We start from the raw sequence: 17909 nt of genomic DNA, 5'->3' as shown, positions 1-17909 counted from the left end.
TTTAATAAAATGTCTATTAAGTGATTAAGGATAGATGATAGATTGGAAGATTGCAAACATAGTCATAAACTGTGTGTATGTGTGTGTGTGTGTGTGTGTGTGTGTGTGTGTTCATGCACACATGCATACATGTAGTAGGTAATATGGACCGCTGATAGAAATATTTCGTTAAGGAAAAGAGTGCCTCTTAATTTTTTATATTATTTATTTGTTTGCTTGCTTGTTTTTTCAGACAGGGTCTTTCCCTGTCACTCAGGCTGGAGTGCAGTGCATGATCACAGCTCACTGTAACCTCAAACTCCTGAGCTCAGGAATACAGACATGTGCCACCATGTCTGACTAATTTTTTGTTTTTTATTTTTTTGTAGAGGCAGTCTCACTATGTTGCCCAGGCTGGTCTCAAACTCCTAACTTTAAGCAATCCTCCCACCTCAGCCTCTCAAAGAGCTGGGATTACAGGCATGAAGCTATCACACCCAGCCTAATTTAATTTGCAAACATAGCCACTGTTCCTTGATATTATCAGAAGTAAAAAACCTTTTGTTTTATAGTTTGTTTACTGAGAATAAGATACATTATAAGTGTTACTGTTAAAACTGTAACTTTAAAAGGTTATATTGAAATACATTAGACTCAAGACAACTGGATACAAATAATTTTCTATTATGTTATTTGAATTATTCCTTTAAGTTTAAATGTCTTGATTTTTCTATTAAGTATACTATGCATTGAAAACTAAATCTTTAGAATGTTATCAAAATATATTCCTGACTCTTCCAAAAGCAGGCTCTGAGCCAAAGTTTGGGTTGCAAGACGTTTATCAGGGATAAATATCTGGCTGGGTGCCGTGGCTCACGCCTGTAATCCTAGCACTTTGGGAGACCAAGGCAGGGAGCCCAGGTGTTCAAGACCAGCCTGGGCAATATAATGAGACCCCCACCTCTAAAAAAAAAAATTTAAAAATAGAAATAAAAAGGTATAAATATCTGTCAAACGTGTTGGGGAGTGGGGAGAGGAAGCAGAATTGAGCAGGAAAAAAGCTGAAACCAGATGCAGGCTGGACAAAGTCCCCAGTCACCCTGGCTGGGAGCTTAGGAGGCTAATATTGCCCTTCGGAGTTGTCCCAGACTAAAATGTCCCAGTCTTTATTCCCTTGCTTCTCTCAGTCACCAAATGTAAGCTGCCTTGGGAAGGGCATGACTTTGGCTAAGATGGCTCTTTACCCCCGAGGCTGACCCTAAAGGAGCTGACAGCTGGAGGCTTTTGTGCAGACTACGTTCTCCACAGCTGGGCAGTAATTAATTCCTTGTAATGGGATCTGGACTGTGCATCTCCATGGCTATCACAATGTAGCTTGTAATTATACACACACACACACACATATATGCACACACACACACATATATTTCCACTTTATGTTTAGCAACACAGCCACATTTAAAAAATAAAAACAATATAAAAAGTTTACTGTGAAATCATGTCCCATCCACTACTTGTAGATATTTTCAGTAGTTCTTTGTGCAACTAAGGCAAATATCATACATATTCATAATTCCCCATTTTTCATAGACAAAAGGTGCATACTCTACCACTGTTTTGTACCTTGCCTTTTTTTCACTTAATCTTGGTTATCTTTTCATGTCAATATATAAAGAATTTCCTCATTCTTTCTTTTACAGCAGCATTTTTTGATGGCCATTTCAGAGGTTTCCAAGCTTTTACTAATAACAGTGGTGCTTTTGCCCACATCATTTTGTACCTGCCTAAGTATATCTGTAGGATAAAGTGACAGAAGTAGAATTTCTGAGTCTAAGTGTAAATGCCTTTGTAATCTGGTATTACTGAATTAACTTCCATAGGGCTTGCAGCAATATGTACTCAATGTATCCTATGTTTAGCAATATGAAAATTAGACACAATGGCTGATTTTCTAAATATTGACCTCTTTTTCCCAGTGTGACAAAATGTAAAACAGTAGGAAGAGAGATAGTGAGAAAAAGAAGGACACTGAGAATATCTCAGTTTAACAGTTCCCTCTTAGACTTTAATTACCTGCCTAGTCTGTGCTCCTTGGCCCATCAAGTGAACAACTGCCTCCCAACCATTTAAATTCCCTCATTTTTAACACCTCCCTTTCCCCACTCCTCACAACCAAGTCAGGTTTTTCTATCACAGCCTGCTGCAAAACCCAGTCTTGAGACAATCTTATAATACATGTTGTCTACTCTTCCTCCTACAGAACTCAGCACATTGGAGACTATCATACATCTTTAAGTGGTGCTGACACTACAATTTCAATGTTTCTCCTGTCTATTGAGCCCTTCATGCTACTTCTCAGTCCTTTTACTAGTCTTTGGTTGTCTCCCAACCCATTCTCCTCTACCACATTTTTCAGATAACTTTGCTTCCGTACTTCTCAGAGAAGACCAAGAACATCAGAGTGAATGCCATCATTTTCAGTTGCCATTGCCAAACATCTCCACAGCCTCCTTAGCTCTCCAGCTGTGCTCTTAATTCTACTTCTCTAATTTCTCTAAAACATCCCTTCTCAAATTATTCCTCTCTGTCTTAAACCTCCCCTCTTCTGCTGACTCCTTTCCCGTGGTCTATGAACATGTTCAACCACTCCATTTTAATCACAGTCTTGTCATGGAATGTCCCCATAATTTTTGCCCAAATTGCTCTCTCTCTCTCTCTTTCTCTTTGACTGTCTGCCTCTCATATCCTTCTCTGCCATAATTCTTCTTTTATTTCTGTATGCTCTTTTTCTAACTTCTCCAGTCACTATGATCTGACTTCTGATCCTTCTCCCTCAAACCCAAATAAAATGACCCTTGCTGGGGCTACCAGCTTTCTCCTACTTTTCACATCCAGTGAACACTTTTCTGAGTCTGTTACTTGGTATCTCTGTGGCATTGATACTGTTGGCCACTTCTCATCTTGGTCTTCCTTCCATCATTCTAACCAAACTGTTGCTGTCTCTTCGGATCTTCTTTTTCTGCTGATCTCTACATATTGGTATTGAAATGTCCTCAGATTTTATACTGACTTCTTTTCTTCTCACCCTATAGAAATCTTCTTTCTAAGGGATCTGAATATTTTTCCATAATTTTAACTACCAACTACATGAAGAGGCAAATCACCTTGTCAAGATACATGCCCTAAAACCAGACTGTATGGGCTCATAGCCTGACTCTACACTTCCTGGCTGAGAGTAACTTTGGGTATTTTTTCTCTGCCTCAATTTCCTCATCTTTAAAATGGGAATAACAGTAGTTTCTACACCATAGGTCATTGTAAGGATATGTGACATCCAAAGGGTTCAGAATATTGCTTGGCGCCTGATAAGCCCTAGGTTAAGTGTTAACCATAACTACTATTATTGCTGTTATTATTGCTGATGGCTCACAAGTTATTGTCTGTAGCCTCTCTTATCTCCTCGTCTCCACATCTGGATATTTAGCTACCACTGAACCTGTCCATAAGGATGTCCCACAGGTACTCCAAGAAAACATCTCAAAAAACCAAACTCATTATCTTGAAAACAAAACTGAATTATCTTCCTATATTTCTTACTTCAGGCCTTGATGGCATATTATTCACCCAGCCACTTGAGCAAGAAACCTGGAAAATGTTGCCAACTTATCCACTCTCTCTCCATTAATTTTTACCTCTGAGCTATCTCTCATATCTCATTGCACCACTCCGATGGTCACTGCCTTAGTCAAGCCCTTCCCATCTCTTGCCTAGACTGATGCAATATCCTAACTGATCTGCCCACCTGCATCTCACTGCTTTCCAATGCTTTCACAATGCCATCAAAATGACTGCTTCCCTGCATAAAATCTTTCAATGACTATTACTACATTAGTTTGCTACAGCTGCCATAACAAAGTATCACAGGTTGGGTGACTTAGACAACAGAAATTTATTTTCTTCCAGCTCTGGATGCAGGGAAATCCAACATCAAAGTGTTAGCAGGCCTGCTTTCTCCCGAGGCCTAGCTCCTTGACATGCAGATGACCACTTTCTCACCATATCCTCCCATGATCTTTCCTCTATGTGCATACATCCTGGGTGTCTCTTTGGCCAAACTTCCTCTTCTTATATCTTAATCACCTCTTTTTCTTTCTGTCTGTCTGTCTTTCTTTCTTTCTTTCTCCTTTCTTTCTCTTTTTTTTTAGATGGAGTCACTCTGTCACTCAGGCTGGAGTGCAGTGGCGCCATCTTGACTCACTGCAACCTCCTCCTCCCATGTTCAGGCGATTCTCATGCCTCAGCCTCCGAATTAGCTGGAACTACAGGCACACACCACCATGCCAGGCTAACTTTCTTTTTAAATTTTTTTGTGTGGGGCGGGGGGAGGGGAGCAGAGTCTCACTCTGTTCCCTAGGCTGGAGGGCAGTGGTGCCATCTTGGCTCACTGAAACCTCCGCCCCCCAGGTTTAAGTGATTATCCTTCCTCAGCCTGCCAAGTAGCTGGGACTACAGGCGCACACCACCACAGCCAGCTAATTTTTTGAATTTTTAGTAGAAATGGGGTTTTGCCATGCTGGCTAGGCTGGTCTAGAACTCCTGAGCTCAGGCAATCACCCACCTCAGCCTCCCAAAGTGCTAGGCGTGAGCCACCACACCCTGTCACTTAATCACCTCTTTAAAGGCCCTATTTCCAAATACAGTCACATTCTGAGGTACTAGGGGTTGGAACTTCAGCATAGGAATTTGGGGGAAAACAATTCAACCCATAAGAATCACCTACCAATTAAGAATGGAGTTAGTTGCAGGGAGGAGCAAAGATGGCCGAATAGGAACAGCTCCGGTCTACAGCTCCCAGCGTGAGCGATGGAGAAGACGGTGATTTCTGCATTTCCATCTGAGATACCGAGTTCATCTCACTAGGGAGTGCCAGACAGTGGGCGCAGGTCAGTGGGTGCATGCACCGTGCGCGAGCCGAAGCAGGGCGAGGCATTGCCTCACCTGGGAAGCGCAAGGGGTCAGGGAGTTCCCTTTCCGAGTCAAAGAAAGGGGTGACAGACGGCACCTAGAAAATCGGGTCACTCCCACCCGAATACTGCGCTTTTCCGACGGGCTTAAAAAACGGCGCACCACGAGATTATATTCCGCACCTGGCTTGGAGAGTCCTACGCCCACGGAGTCTCACTGATTGCTAGCACAGCAGTCTGAGATCAACCTGCAAGGCGGCAGCGAGGCTGCGGGAGGGGCGCCCGCCATTGCCCAGGCTTGATTAGGTAAACAAAGCAGCCGGGAAGCTCGAACTGGGCGGAGCCCACCACAGCTCAAGGAGGCCTGCCTGCCTCTGTAAGCTCCACCTCTGGGGGCAGGGCACAGACAAACAAAAAGACAGCAGTAACCTCTGCAGACTTAAGTGTCCCTGTCTGACAGCTTTGAAGAGAGCAGTGGTTCTCCCACCACGCAGCTGGAGATCTGAGAACGGGCAGACTGCCTCCTCAAGTGGGTCCCTGACCCCTGACCCCTGAGCAGCCTAACTGGGAGGCACCCCCCAGCAGGGGCACACTGACACCTCACATGGCAGGGTATTCCAACAGACCTGCAGCTGAGGGTCCTGTCTGTTAGAAGGAAAACTAACAAACAGAAAGGACATCCACACCAAAAACCCATCTGTACATCACCATCATCAAAGACCAAAAGTAGATAAAACCACAAAGATGGGGAAAAAACAGAACAGAAAAACGGGAAACTCTAAAAAGCAGAGCGCCTCTCCTCCTCCAAAGGAACGCAGTTCCTCACCAGCAACGGAACAAACCTGGATGGAGAATGACTTTGATGAGCTGAGAGAAGAAGGCTTCAGACGATCAAATTACTCTGAGCTACGGGAGGACATTCAAACCAAAGGCAAAGAAGTTGAAAACTTTGAAAAAAATTTAGAAGAATGTATAACTAGAATAACCAATACAGAGAAGTGCTTAAAGGAGCTGATGGAGCTGAAAACCAAGGCTCGAGAACTACGTGAAGAATGCAGAAGCCTCAGGAGCCGATGCCATCAACTGGAAGAAAGGGTATCAGCAATGGAAGATGAAATGAATGAAATGAAGCGAGAAGGGAAGTTTAGAGAAAAAAGAATAAAAAGAAATGAGCAAAGCCTCCAAGAAATATGGGACTATGTGAAAAGACCAAATCTACGTCTGATTGGTGTACCTGAAAGTGATGGGGAGAATGGAACCAAGTTGGAAAACACTCTGCAGGATATTATCCAGGAGAACTTCCCCAATCTAGCAAGGCAGGCCAACGTTCAGATTCAGGAAATACAGAGAACGCCACAAAGATACTCCTCGAGAAGAGCAACTCCAAGACACATAATTGTCAGATTCACCAAAGTTGAAATGAAGGAAAAAATGTTAAGGGCAGCCAGAGAGAAAGGTCAGGTTACCCTCAAAGGGAGGCCCATCAGACTAACAGCGGATCTCTCGGCAGAAACCCTACAAGCCAGAAGAGAGTGGGGGCCAATATTCAACATTCTTAAAGGAAAGAATTTTCAACCCAGAATTTCATATCCAGCCAAACTAAGCTTCATAAGCGAAGGAGAAACAAAATACTTTACAGACAAGCAAATGCTGAGAGATTTTGTCACCACCAGGCCTGCCCTAAAAGAGCTCCTGAAGGAAGCGCTAAACATGGAAAGGAACAACCGGTACCAGCCGCTGCAAAATCATGCCAAAATATAAAGACCATCAAGACTAGGAAGAAACTGCATCAACTAACGAGCAGAATAACCACCTAACATCATAATGACAGGATCAAATTCACACATAACGCTATTAACTTTAAATGTAAATGGACTAAATGCTCCAATTAAAAGACACAGACTGGCAAATTGGATAAACAGTCAAGACCCATCAGTGTGCTGTATTCAGGAAACCCATCTCACGTGCAGAGACACACATAGGCTCAAAATAAAAGGATGGAGGAAGCTCTACCAAGCAAATGGAAAACAAAAAAAGGCAGGGGTTGCAATACTAGTCTCTGATAAAACAGACTTTAAACCAACAAAGATCAAAAGAGACAAAGAAGGCCATTACATAATGGTAAAGGGATCAATTCAACAAGAAGAGCTAACTATCCTAAATATATATACACCCAATACAGGAGCACCAAGATGCATAAAGCAAGTCCTGAGTGACCTACAAAGAGACTTAGACTCCCACACAATAATAATGGGAGACTTTAACACCCCACTGTCAACATTAGACAGATCAACGAGACAGAAAGTCAACAAGGATACCCAGGAATTGAACTCAGCTTTGCACCAAGCAGACCTAATAGACATCTACAGAACTCTCCACCCCAAATCAACAGAATATACATTTTTTTCAGCACCACACCACACCTATTCCAAAATTGACCACATACTTGGAAGTAAAGCTCTCCTCAGCAAATGTAAAAGAACAGAAATTATAACAAACTATCTCTCAGACCACAGTGCAATCAAACTAGAACTCAGGATTAAGAATCTCACTCAAAACCGCTCAACTACATGGAAACTGAACAACCTGCTCCTGAATGACTACTGGGTACATAACAAAATGAAGGCAGAAATAAAGATGTTCTTTGAAAACAACGAGAACAAAGACACAACATACCAGAATCTCTGGGACACATTCAAAGCAGTGTGTAGAGGGAAATTTATAGCACTAAATGCCCACAAGAGAAAGCAGGAAAGATCTAAAATTGACACCCTAACATCACAATTAAAAGAACTAGAAAGGCAAGAGCAAACACATTCAAAATCTAGCAGAAGGCAAGAAATAACTAAAATCAGAGCAGAACTGAAGGAAATAGAGACACAAAAAACCCTTCAAAAAAGTCATGACTCCAGGAGCTGGTTTTTTGAAAGGATCAACAAAATTGATAGACCGCTAGCAAGACTAATAAAGAAAAAAAGAGAGAAGAATTTAATAGACACAATAAAAAATGTCTTATCTCTTATGGCTATCTGTGATTAGTGATCTTTGATGTTACTCTTGCAATTGCATTGGTGCACCACAAACCACACCCTAGAAGACTTGAATTTAATTGAGAAATGTTGTGTGTGTCCTGATTGTTCCACGCTTCCACAGATCAGACATTCCCCCATCTCTCTCCCTTTGTTCAGGCCTCCTTATTCCCTGAGAAATAACAATATTGAAATTAGACCAATAACCCTAAGACTTCTAAACGTTCAAGTGAAAAGAAGAGTCACTCATCCCTCACTAGCAATCAAAAGCTAAAAACGATTAAGCATCTCAAAAGCCATGGTAGGCTGAAAGCTAGGCCTCTTGCATCAGTTAGCCAAATTGTGAATGCAAAGGGAAAGTTATTGAGGAAAATTAAAAAGAGCTACTCCAGTGAACACATGAATGCTAAGAAAGCAAAACAGCCTCGTTCCTGATACGGAGAAAGTTTTGGCGGTCAGGATATAAAATCAAACCAGCCACAGCATTCTCTAAAGCCAAAACCTAATCCAGAGCAAGGCTCTAACTCTCTTCAATTCTATGAAGGCTGAGACACATGAGGAAGGTGCAGAAGAAAATTTAGAAGCTAGCAGATTGGTTCATGAAGTTTAAAGAAGGAAGTCATCTTCAAAACATAAAAGTGCAAAGTGAAGCTGCAAGTGCTGATGTAAAAGTTGCAGCAAATTATCCAGATCTAGCTGAGATCACTGATGAAGGAGGAACACTAAACAACATATTTTCAGTGTAGATGAAACACCTTTCCATTGAAAGAATATGCCATCTAGAAATTTTATAGCTAAAGAGGAGAAGTCAGTGCCTTGCTTCAAAGCTTCAAAAGACAGGTTGACCCTCTTGTTAGGGGCTGATGGCTTTCATTTGAAACCAATGCATACTTACTATTCTGAAAATTTTAGGGCCCTTAAAAATGATGCTAAATCCATTCTGCCACTGTTTTATAAGTGAAATCACAAAGCCTGAATGACAGCACTTCTGTTTATAGCATGGTTTACCGAATATTTTAAGCCCCGTGTAAAGACTTACTGCTCAGGAAAAAAAAAAAAAAAAAGATTCCTTTCATCCTCACTGACAATGTACCTGGTTACACAAGAGCTGTGATGGAGATGTACAAGGAGATGAATGTTACTATTATGCCTGCTAACACGACATCTATTCCGCAGCCCACGGATCAAGAAGTAATTTCAGTTTTCAACTCTTTTATTATTACTATCGTTATTGTAAAGCTACAGCTGCCATAGATAGTAATTTGTCTGGTGGATCTCGGCAAAGTAAATTGAAAACCTTCTGGAAGGGGTTAACCATTATATATGCCATTAAGAACATTTGTGACTCATGGGAAGAGGTCAAAATATCAACATGAACAATTTAGAAAAAGTTGATTCCAACCTTCATGGGTGACTTTGAGGGGTTCAAGATTTCAGTAGAGGAAATCACTGCAGATGTGGCAGAAATAGCAAGATAACTATAATTAGAAGTGGAGCCTAGGGTCGGGTGGCTCACACCTGTAATCCCAGCACTTCGGGAGGCCGAGGTGGGCGGATCACGAGGTCAGGAGATCTAGACCATCCTGGCTAACACGGTGAAACCCCGTCTCTACTAAAAATACAAAAAATTATCCGGGCGTGATGGCACACGCCTGTAGTTCCAGCTACTCAGCAGGCTGAGGCAGGAGAATCGCTTGAACCCAGGAGGCGGAGGTTACAGTGAGCCGAGATCTTGCCACTGCACTCCAGCCTGGGCGACAGAGTGAGATTATGTCTCAAAAAAAAAAAAAAAAAAAAGAAAGTGGAGCCTAAAGATGACTGAACTGCTGTAATCTCATGATAGAACTGGAATAGATGAGGAGTTGCTTCTTATGGATGAGCAAAGAAAGCAGGGTTTGAGAGGATTGGCCCCAATTTCTAAAGAAGTTCTGCTGTGGGTAAAATGCTATCAAACAGCATCACATGCTACAGAGAAATCTTTTGCAAAAGAAAGAGTTAATTGATGCAGCAAACTTCATTGTTGTCTTGTTTTCAGATATTTCTGCAGCCACCCCAACCTTCAGCAACCACCACCCGGATCAGTCAGCAGCCATCAACGTTGAGGCAAGACCCTCCTCCAGCAAAAAGATTACAACTCAATGAAGACTCAGATGATTATTAGCATTTTTATTAGTAATATATTAATAAATATTGTGTTTTATTAATAGCAATAAAGTGTTTTTAATTAAGGTAAGTACTTTTTTTTAGACATAATACTGTTACAAACTCAATAGACTCCAGTATAATGTAAATATAACTTTTACATGCACTGGGAAAAAAAATTCTTGTAACTTGTTTTATTCTGATATTTATTGCAGTGATCTGGAACTGAACCTGTAATATGTCCAAGGTATGCTTCTAATCAGCCAAAATGATAAACCATCAGATTGAAAAAACTTCCAGAGTTAATATATTAAAAGGTAATAATGAATGAGAAATAATACTGTACCTTAGTAATCTTAACTCTTTTCTCTGTATACTTTTGTTTCTCAGCTAATGGTTCTATACTAGGGCACTGCAAAGTTAAAGGATTTTCTGAATACCAGAATTTTACTACTAATAGAGCCATTCTAGAATCTGGCCCTATCCATATTTTAGCCCATTGGCACATGATTTATCCATCTCTCTGTAATAATTTATCAATGCTATTACTAACAAATAGATTAGTAAAGGTTCTTGAAAGAACATAAGAAATATATAGTTCTTCTTTCACCCCACCAATAGTAATAATAACTGAATATAAAATGGTGAATTGTAATATAATTATATTTTATATATAATTATAAAAATAATTATATTTTATATATAATTATAAAAATAATTATATTTTATATATAATTATAAAAATAATTATATATATAATATTATATATTTTATATAAATATATATTATATATATAAAATATTATAATTATAACATAATTATAATATAATAATGGTGAATATAAAATATAACATGGCCATGTGCAATGATTCATGCCTGTAATCCCAAAAGTTTGGAAAGTCAAGGTGGGAGGATAGCTTGAAGCCGGGATTACACGATGAGCCTGGGCAACACAGTGAGATCTTCACATCTACAAAAAATAATAATTAAAAAAAATTATCTGGGTATAGTCCTATCTACTCCAGGCTGAGATGGGAGGATCACTTGAGCCCAGGAGTTCAAGGTTGCAGTGAGCTGGAATCATGCTACTGCACTCCAGCTTGGGAAACAGAGCAAGATCCTATCTTAAAAAAAAAATGGAGAGAGGTATGCCAAATGGATCATAACTAGTATATGTAAAATGGTGGTGAACAGGGCCTAGATGTATCTTTTATATATTCTTGGACCCCATAGCTGAAAACAGATGCAATATATTAAGTCAGTAAACTGCCGGCTGTAGCACCAGACACTTACATACAAGGTTTGACTAATCTTGGTCATCTGTTCAGGGAAGTACAGAACTGTGGTGTAACCATGTCTTCCCGTTTTTATCTCTTCAATGGGGGAGAGGTGGGATAGATGTGTCAGGCCAGATGCTGCTGGAACAAGAAGACAAGTGTCAGAGGGAGAGGGAGGCAGAGCTGAGACCAAGCGTGTCAGAGGGGTCGCCTGCTTTCCTGCCATTTGAAAACTCATTTCCTAAAGGACAGTTACACTGTGCAATGTAATAATATTTTATCACTAAAAAGACAAGGCAGCTCTACACTTACCAGTATGGAACAGGCTCCAAGTCATATTAAGTTGGGGAAGGGTAATGGGTGGAGAACAAAATGTAGTACAATGTATGTAATATGCTATCATATGTGTATATAATTAAATATATATTTATGTATGTATATGCTTACATACACGTAGAACATGTTTGGAAGAATATTGAAAATTTGGGAGCTGGGTATGGTGGCTCATGCCTGTAGTCCCAGTTACTCAGGAAGCTGAGGTAGGAGGATTGTTTAAGCCCAGGAGTTTGAGACCACCCTGGACAACATAGTGAAAGAAACCTCATCTCCATTATAAATAAAATAAATAAAATAAAATAAAATAAAATAAAACTTGCAAACCTTGGGGGAGGCAAACAACGTAGGGCTTCCATGTAAGGCCACACATGATGGAATTACAACCTTCCAGAGGCATCAATTACATAGGCTCTTGCTACTCAAAGGTGTGGTCTCCAGACCAGCAGCATCAGCATTACCTGAGAGTTTTTTGGAAATGCAGAATCTCAGCTTCTATCCCAGACTTACTGAATCATAATCTACCTTTAAAGAGGACTCTCAATTATTTTTTAATTGCATCAAATGTTGAGAAATACTGTTATAAATGCAAAGTGTATCGAGCCTTCTAGAGTTGTGCACTGCATAACCTTCATAACCAAGAGTAAAGGAAAGATCTGTGAGTAAAGGATGGGAAGAAGTCTCTTCACCATAGAGGCTTTTTTTTGTTTATTTTTTTGAGATGGAGTCTCGCTCTACTGCCCAGGCTGGAGTACAGTGGCACAATCCAGGCTCACTGCAAACTCCACCTCCCAGGTTCAAGTGATTCTCTTGCCTCAGCCTCCTGGGTAGCTGGGATTACAGGCATGTGCCAAAACACCTGGCTAATTTATAGAGCCTTTTTGCACTTTGTACATGTTGAGTCATGTGGTACAAAAAGAATTGTAAATATTGTAAGATAAACTAAAGCAAACAGCACTTTACAGCCTAAAGGGGATGACTTTAATAATTGAGAGTAGGCCAGGCACGGTGGCTCCCACCTGTAATTCCAATATTTTGGGTGGCCTAGACGTGAGGATAGTTTGAGGCCAGGAGTTCAAGACCAGCCTGGGCAACATGGCAAAGCTCCATCTCTACAAAAAATACAAAAATCAGCTGGGTGTGGTGGCACGTGTCTATACTCTCAGCTACTCAGGTTGAGGTGGGGAGCTGCGGGATGGTCAATGGGGGCTTAGGCAGGCGGATCACTTGAGCCTGGGAGATTGAGGCTGCAGTGAGCTACAGTTGTGCCACTGCACTCCAACCTGGGTGACAGAGTGACAGCCTGTCTCAAATAAATAAATAAATAAATAAATAAATAAATAAATAAATAAATAAATATTTGAGAGTAACTAATCATTATGGGATAAGACATTGATGAGGAAAGCCAGTCAATGACAAAGAGCATTTCAACTGAGCACAGTGGTGGTAGTTTTTGGAAGCCATAGAACTGTTTCATGCTTATATCTCAAAGAGATATTGGTTACATCGGGACATTAGTTTAACAACTTTTGAAGATAACTAAGTCTGGTATTGGAAAATCCACGTTATGTGTTTGAGTTCCCAAATGGGAGACTAATGCCTTAAGTGTGACTTCTGTTCTACCTCCCAGTCCTCCCACTTTCTGCCCTCCAGGACTTTTGTACTGTGCTGCCATTTATGAGGTAGCACCAAGCTCATATTTTGCTTCAGACAAAATCATTATTTAGGTTGCAGCCTTAGAGTTATTTTATCATTTCTATAATAAGCAAATAACTGCTGTATAAATGAGAAAATGGGGTAATGTTTTAAAATTTAATTATATTTACACTTTAGAATTATATACATTCACATGAAACAGAAAGTGTAAAAGGGGTACAAAGTAAGAAAGCTCTTCTCTATGGCTATAATCCAGTTATACTGTTTCCTTTTCTAGAGGCACCTAATATGAGTTTTTATGTATCTTTCTGAAGATAATTTATACATAAAACACAATTTACATTATTTTACATCCTGTGTTTAAACAAAAGATAGTATACTATACTTACCGCACCTTGCTTTTTCTGAATAACATTAGATCAGGGAGATCATCCTGTATCACATAAAGATGATCCCCATAGCTACTGTATCCCAATGTAGGGATACATTATTATGTATACACTCTATGGGTGAAATCTTTTGGTATTATAAACAATGCTATAATGAGTAATCTATTTCATACATGAGTGAATAAAGTCTCGGATAAATTCCCAGGAGGAAAGCTGTTGAGTTGCATTGTTAATTCTGTGAGATAATGGCAAATTGCCAACTTACACTCAACTAGGAATGTATGAGAACACACTGTCTAATCAAACCTTTATATCTTTGCTAATACAATAACTTTAAAATGATATTCCAGCCATTGGAATTTGCATTTCTGTTTTTGTGAATAAGACTGAGCATCATTTTATATATCTAAAGGTCCTTTCTTTCTTTCTCTTTTTCTTTCTTTCTTTCTTTCTTTCTTTCTTTCTTTCTTTCTTTCTTTCTTTCTTTCTTTCTTTCCTTCTGTCTCTCTCTCTCTCTCTTTCTTTCTTTTTTTGACAGAGTTTCACTCTTGTTGCCCAGTCTGGAGTGCAATGGCATAACCTTGGCTGACTGCAACTTATGCCTCCCAGGTTCAAGCAATTCTCCTGTCTCAGCCTCCCGAGTAGCTGGGATTACAGGCGTCTGCCACCACACCTGGCTAATTTTTTGTATTTTTAGTAGAGATGGGGTTTCACCATGTTGGCCAGGTTGGTCTCGAACTCCTAATATCAGGTGATCCACCCGCCTCGGCCTCCCAAAGTGCTGGGATTACAAGTGTGAGCCACCATGCCCAGCTTGGTCATTTTCTTACTGATTTTCAAATGCTCTCTCTGTATTAGAAAGACTAGCACCTGCCTATGTTATAACTAGCGAATATTTTTCCAAGTTTGTCATTTGTCTTTTGACTTTTTTGTTTATCTTGCAGAACTTTATTTTTATTTTTTATGCAATCAAATTTTTAAATCATTTCTGTTATGGCTTCTGAATGTTATGACATATTTAGAAATAGCTTTCCCATCCCCCAATTTTTTTAAAAGGAAGTCTTTAGAGCTTTCTTCTAGCTCTCTTATGTTTTCATTTATTTACATGTAAATATTTGAGCCAACTTGAATTTGTTTTGAGGTAAGTTAGGAGATACAGATCCAAATTTATTTTTCTTATATTTTCTAGATGTCTATTGGTAGTCCTAATAGTATTTTTATATAAATCATTTTTTTGCCACTGATTCAAAAGGCTGATTTTATAATTTACTAAATTCTGTTTCTGAATATTCTCATTTATTCCACTGATTCTTTTTAAGATATAAAAAAGCTAGTTGACCTTCACACTCTAGGCTTTTCCTACATTTTCCTAGATACTATTGCTTGTTATTTTTAAATATAAGCTTTAGAATTTGATTGGCTGAAATAAAAACATCTTGTCTTTTTATTGGATCAATCTGTGTGTGATAATGTCTTCCTGTTCAAGAATATGCTATGTCTTTCCATTTGTTCAAAGTTCTTTTGAGACTTTAGTTGCAGCTTAATGTTTTTGTTTTTTTTTCAAATAGATTTTCTACATTTTCATTGCTTTTGTAAATGGAATCTTTTTGTCCATTATATCTTCTAAACTAACAGTTAATACACGTTAATGAATTGACTATTCATTTCCGTATGCTAATTTTATACTTAGCCAACTTACTGAATTGTCTTATCATCTGTAGTAATTTTTCAGTTATCTCAAGTTTTTCAGAAATGCAATAGTAATATTTACAAATAATTATAATTTTGCCCTCTTCCTTTCCACTTTTTATACTTCTCATTTCTGTCTCCTTTCTTGTGATGGCTACTGTCTCCAAAATAGTGTCAAATAGAGGTGACAGATATTTTCACCTAGCTCCTGATTTTAATGGGACTTCTCCAGATGTTTCCCATTAACATGATGCTGGCTTTGGGGTTGAAATAGATGTATTTTATATACTATGACTATTCATTGTGCATCAAATTAAATTTAAATGACTAATGAAATCACTCAGGATCTCTTAGAGAGAGAGGGTACCTTGTTTGGTCCAAATTGGTAATATATGGCTGTTTATGACTTATCAAATACTTTTTACATGTATCAATTATCTCACTGGATCCCCACCGTAATCCTGAGTTAGATACCCATTCCAGCATTTTTTTCTAATTATTATGCCTTGTTCTGGCTTCTATCAGATCATTAGAAATGAAGTACAAATAATGAGAAAACATTCTTCCTTTGAAAGCACAACAAAGTGTTCAAGAATAGCAGAGATTTAAAAATAAACTATTTTATAGGACACAGTTTCTAGAGTATTAACAATATGTTCAGTGTCTCCTGTGGCCAAGAGATAGTTCAACCCCCCATTTTTCCTTGTAGCTAAATCAGTGAGTTCCTTATTACTAGAGGCTGAGCCTAAACACGCAAAGTGAGAGCTGGCCTGGAGGAAGAGATTTGAGAATCATCCATGGGCAGGTTATAATTGAAGCCATAGGATTAGATGAGATAATCCAGAATAATGTACTCTAGAAGGAGAAGATAAATAAATCAAAGATGGAAGCCTGGATAAAACCAATAACAAGGGTGAGTAAAAGAAAAAAGGTTCTAAAAAAGGGAATAAAAATGAACAGCAGGAGTTAAAGAGAGGAAAAAACACAAGAAAATTCATTACTAAAACAAAAGGAGAAGGGAATTTCAAGAAGTTGTCAACAGCATCAAAGTCTTCAGAGACTAAAATAATTCCAAGAGTTGAAAAGTATTCATTGTAATTAGCAAAAAGGTGATCACAGGCAAATTTGACAGCAACAATGTCAGTGGATGCCGTGGCTATTGTCTGCCCGGAATGCCTTTCTCTTCTACATCTGGCAACAAATCCTGCTTCTCTGTCCACAGGAGCAGGCACATGATTCAGGTTGTGCTAATTATAGCATCACATCTTCCTGGCTGTAGAGATAGGCAGCATTCAATAGTAGGCATATGGCTGGGCACAGTGGCTCATGCCTGTAATCCCAGCCTTTAAGAGGCTGAAGTGGATGAATAACTTGAGGTCAGGAGTTCGAGATCAGCCTGACCAACATGGTAAAACCCCTTCTCTACTAAAAATACAAAAAATTTAGCTGGGTGTGATGGCGTGCACCTGTGGTCCCGGCTACTTGGGAGGCCAAGGCAGGAGAATCATTTGAACCTGGGAACTGGAGGTTGCAGTGAGCCGAGATCACACCACTGCACTCCAGCCTTGGAGACATAGTGAGACTCTGTCTCATTAAAAAAAAAAAAAAAAAAAAAAAAAGAAGGCGTATGACCCAAGCTAGACCAATCTGAACATTTGCATGGAATTTTTCTGTCTGCAACTAATGAGAAAACATCTTTTTTTCCTTCTGAATGATGGAAATATCAGAATGAAGTAAATATACAGAGATATGTAGAGATGAAACATGAGCAATGGAGAGAGAGAGCAGGCGCATGCACTCCTGTGAAAGAGAAATATCTGCCCCACCTTTTTTTGAATCTTAATTCTATTCACTTAATTCTATGAGCTTCCTTAATGTCCTTCAAATAATTTCCGCTACTTCCCCCCTCTTTTTTTTAGTAACAAAAGAATTAAGATTAATAGATAGAAGTCAGATTGTAATTGGCTTAGAAATGAATGATATAAATACTTCAGAATAACCATAACAAGAAATGGACAGGAACTATATAAGTAAAACTACAAAATTTTACTTAAGGTCATAAAAGAAGACTTGAATAAATGGGAAGTCCTCACACGTTCCTGGGTAGCAATGACTATTATAAAGATGTCAGTTCTTCTCAAATTAATTTATAGGTTTAATGCAACTCCAATCAAAATCCAAATAGGATACCTTTTGGAGCTTGAAACGGTGATTCTACAGTTGATTAGCTTAAAAAAAAATAGAAAAGAGTGAGGAAATTAAAAAAAAAAAAAGGAAAATTGGTGAGGGGAAGAGTGAACAGCTATTAAGCATTCTCCCAGCTAAAAGGATGCAATTGGAGTGGCTCTGTAGCTCTCTCTCCTTGTCAAAGAGATCCTTGCCTCTGGGCACAGGGTCCATGGATATTCTCCCTTTTTCTTAAAGTAACTTAAATAAGTTTTTCTTTCTTTT

At 39.1% G+C, this 17909-nt stretch overlaps 1 protein-coding gene across 4 annotated transcripts in view, besides 1 other annotated feature; it reads right to left on the bottom strand.

The window, feature by feature from the left end:
• The window catches only part of FOCAD (focadhesin), a 340326-nt gene extending 332365 nt beyond the window's left edge, over nucleotides 1–7961 (bottom strand). For 2 of the 4 annotated variants that reach the window (XM_047423537.1, XM_047423539.1), the window contains exon 1: nucleotides 4760–7961. The gene's annotated coding sequence lies outside the window, so the exon portion shown is untranslated. The remainder of the gene's footprint in view (nucleotides 1–4759) is intronic. The other 2 variants (NM_017794.5, XM_017014855.2) reach the window with 2 other exon arrangements.
• Nucleotides 4841–4900: an enhancer, noted in NCBI's record as "active region_28230". NCBI's record gives its function as "activates an Ori minimal core promoter by ATAC-STARR-seq in GM12878 lymphoblastoid cells {active_cell/tissue: GM12878}" and the evidence as "EXISTENCE:reporter gene assay evidence [ECO:0000049][PMID:35858748]".
• Nucleotides 7962–17909: the final 9948 nt, after the last annotated feature.

The sequence above is a fragment of the Homo sapiens genome, chromosome 9 (assembly GCF_000001405.40).
Source record: "Homo sapiens chromosome 9, GRCh38.p14 Primary Assembly".
NCBI lineage: Eukaryota > Metazoa > Chordata > Mammalia > Primates > Hominidae > Homo > Homo sapiens.
This window is presented reverse-complemented; position numbering and strand designations above follow the sequence as displayed.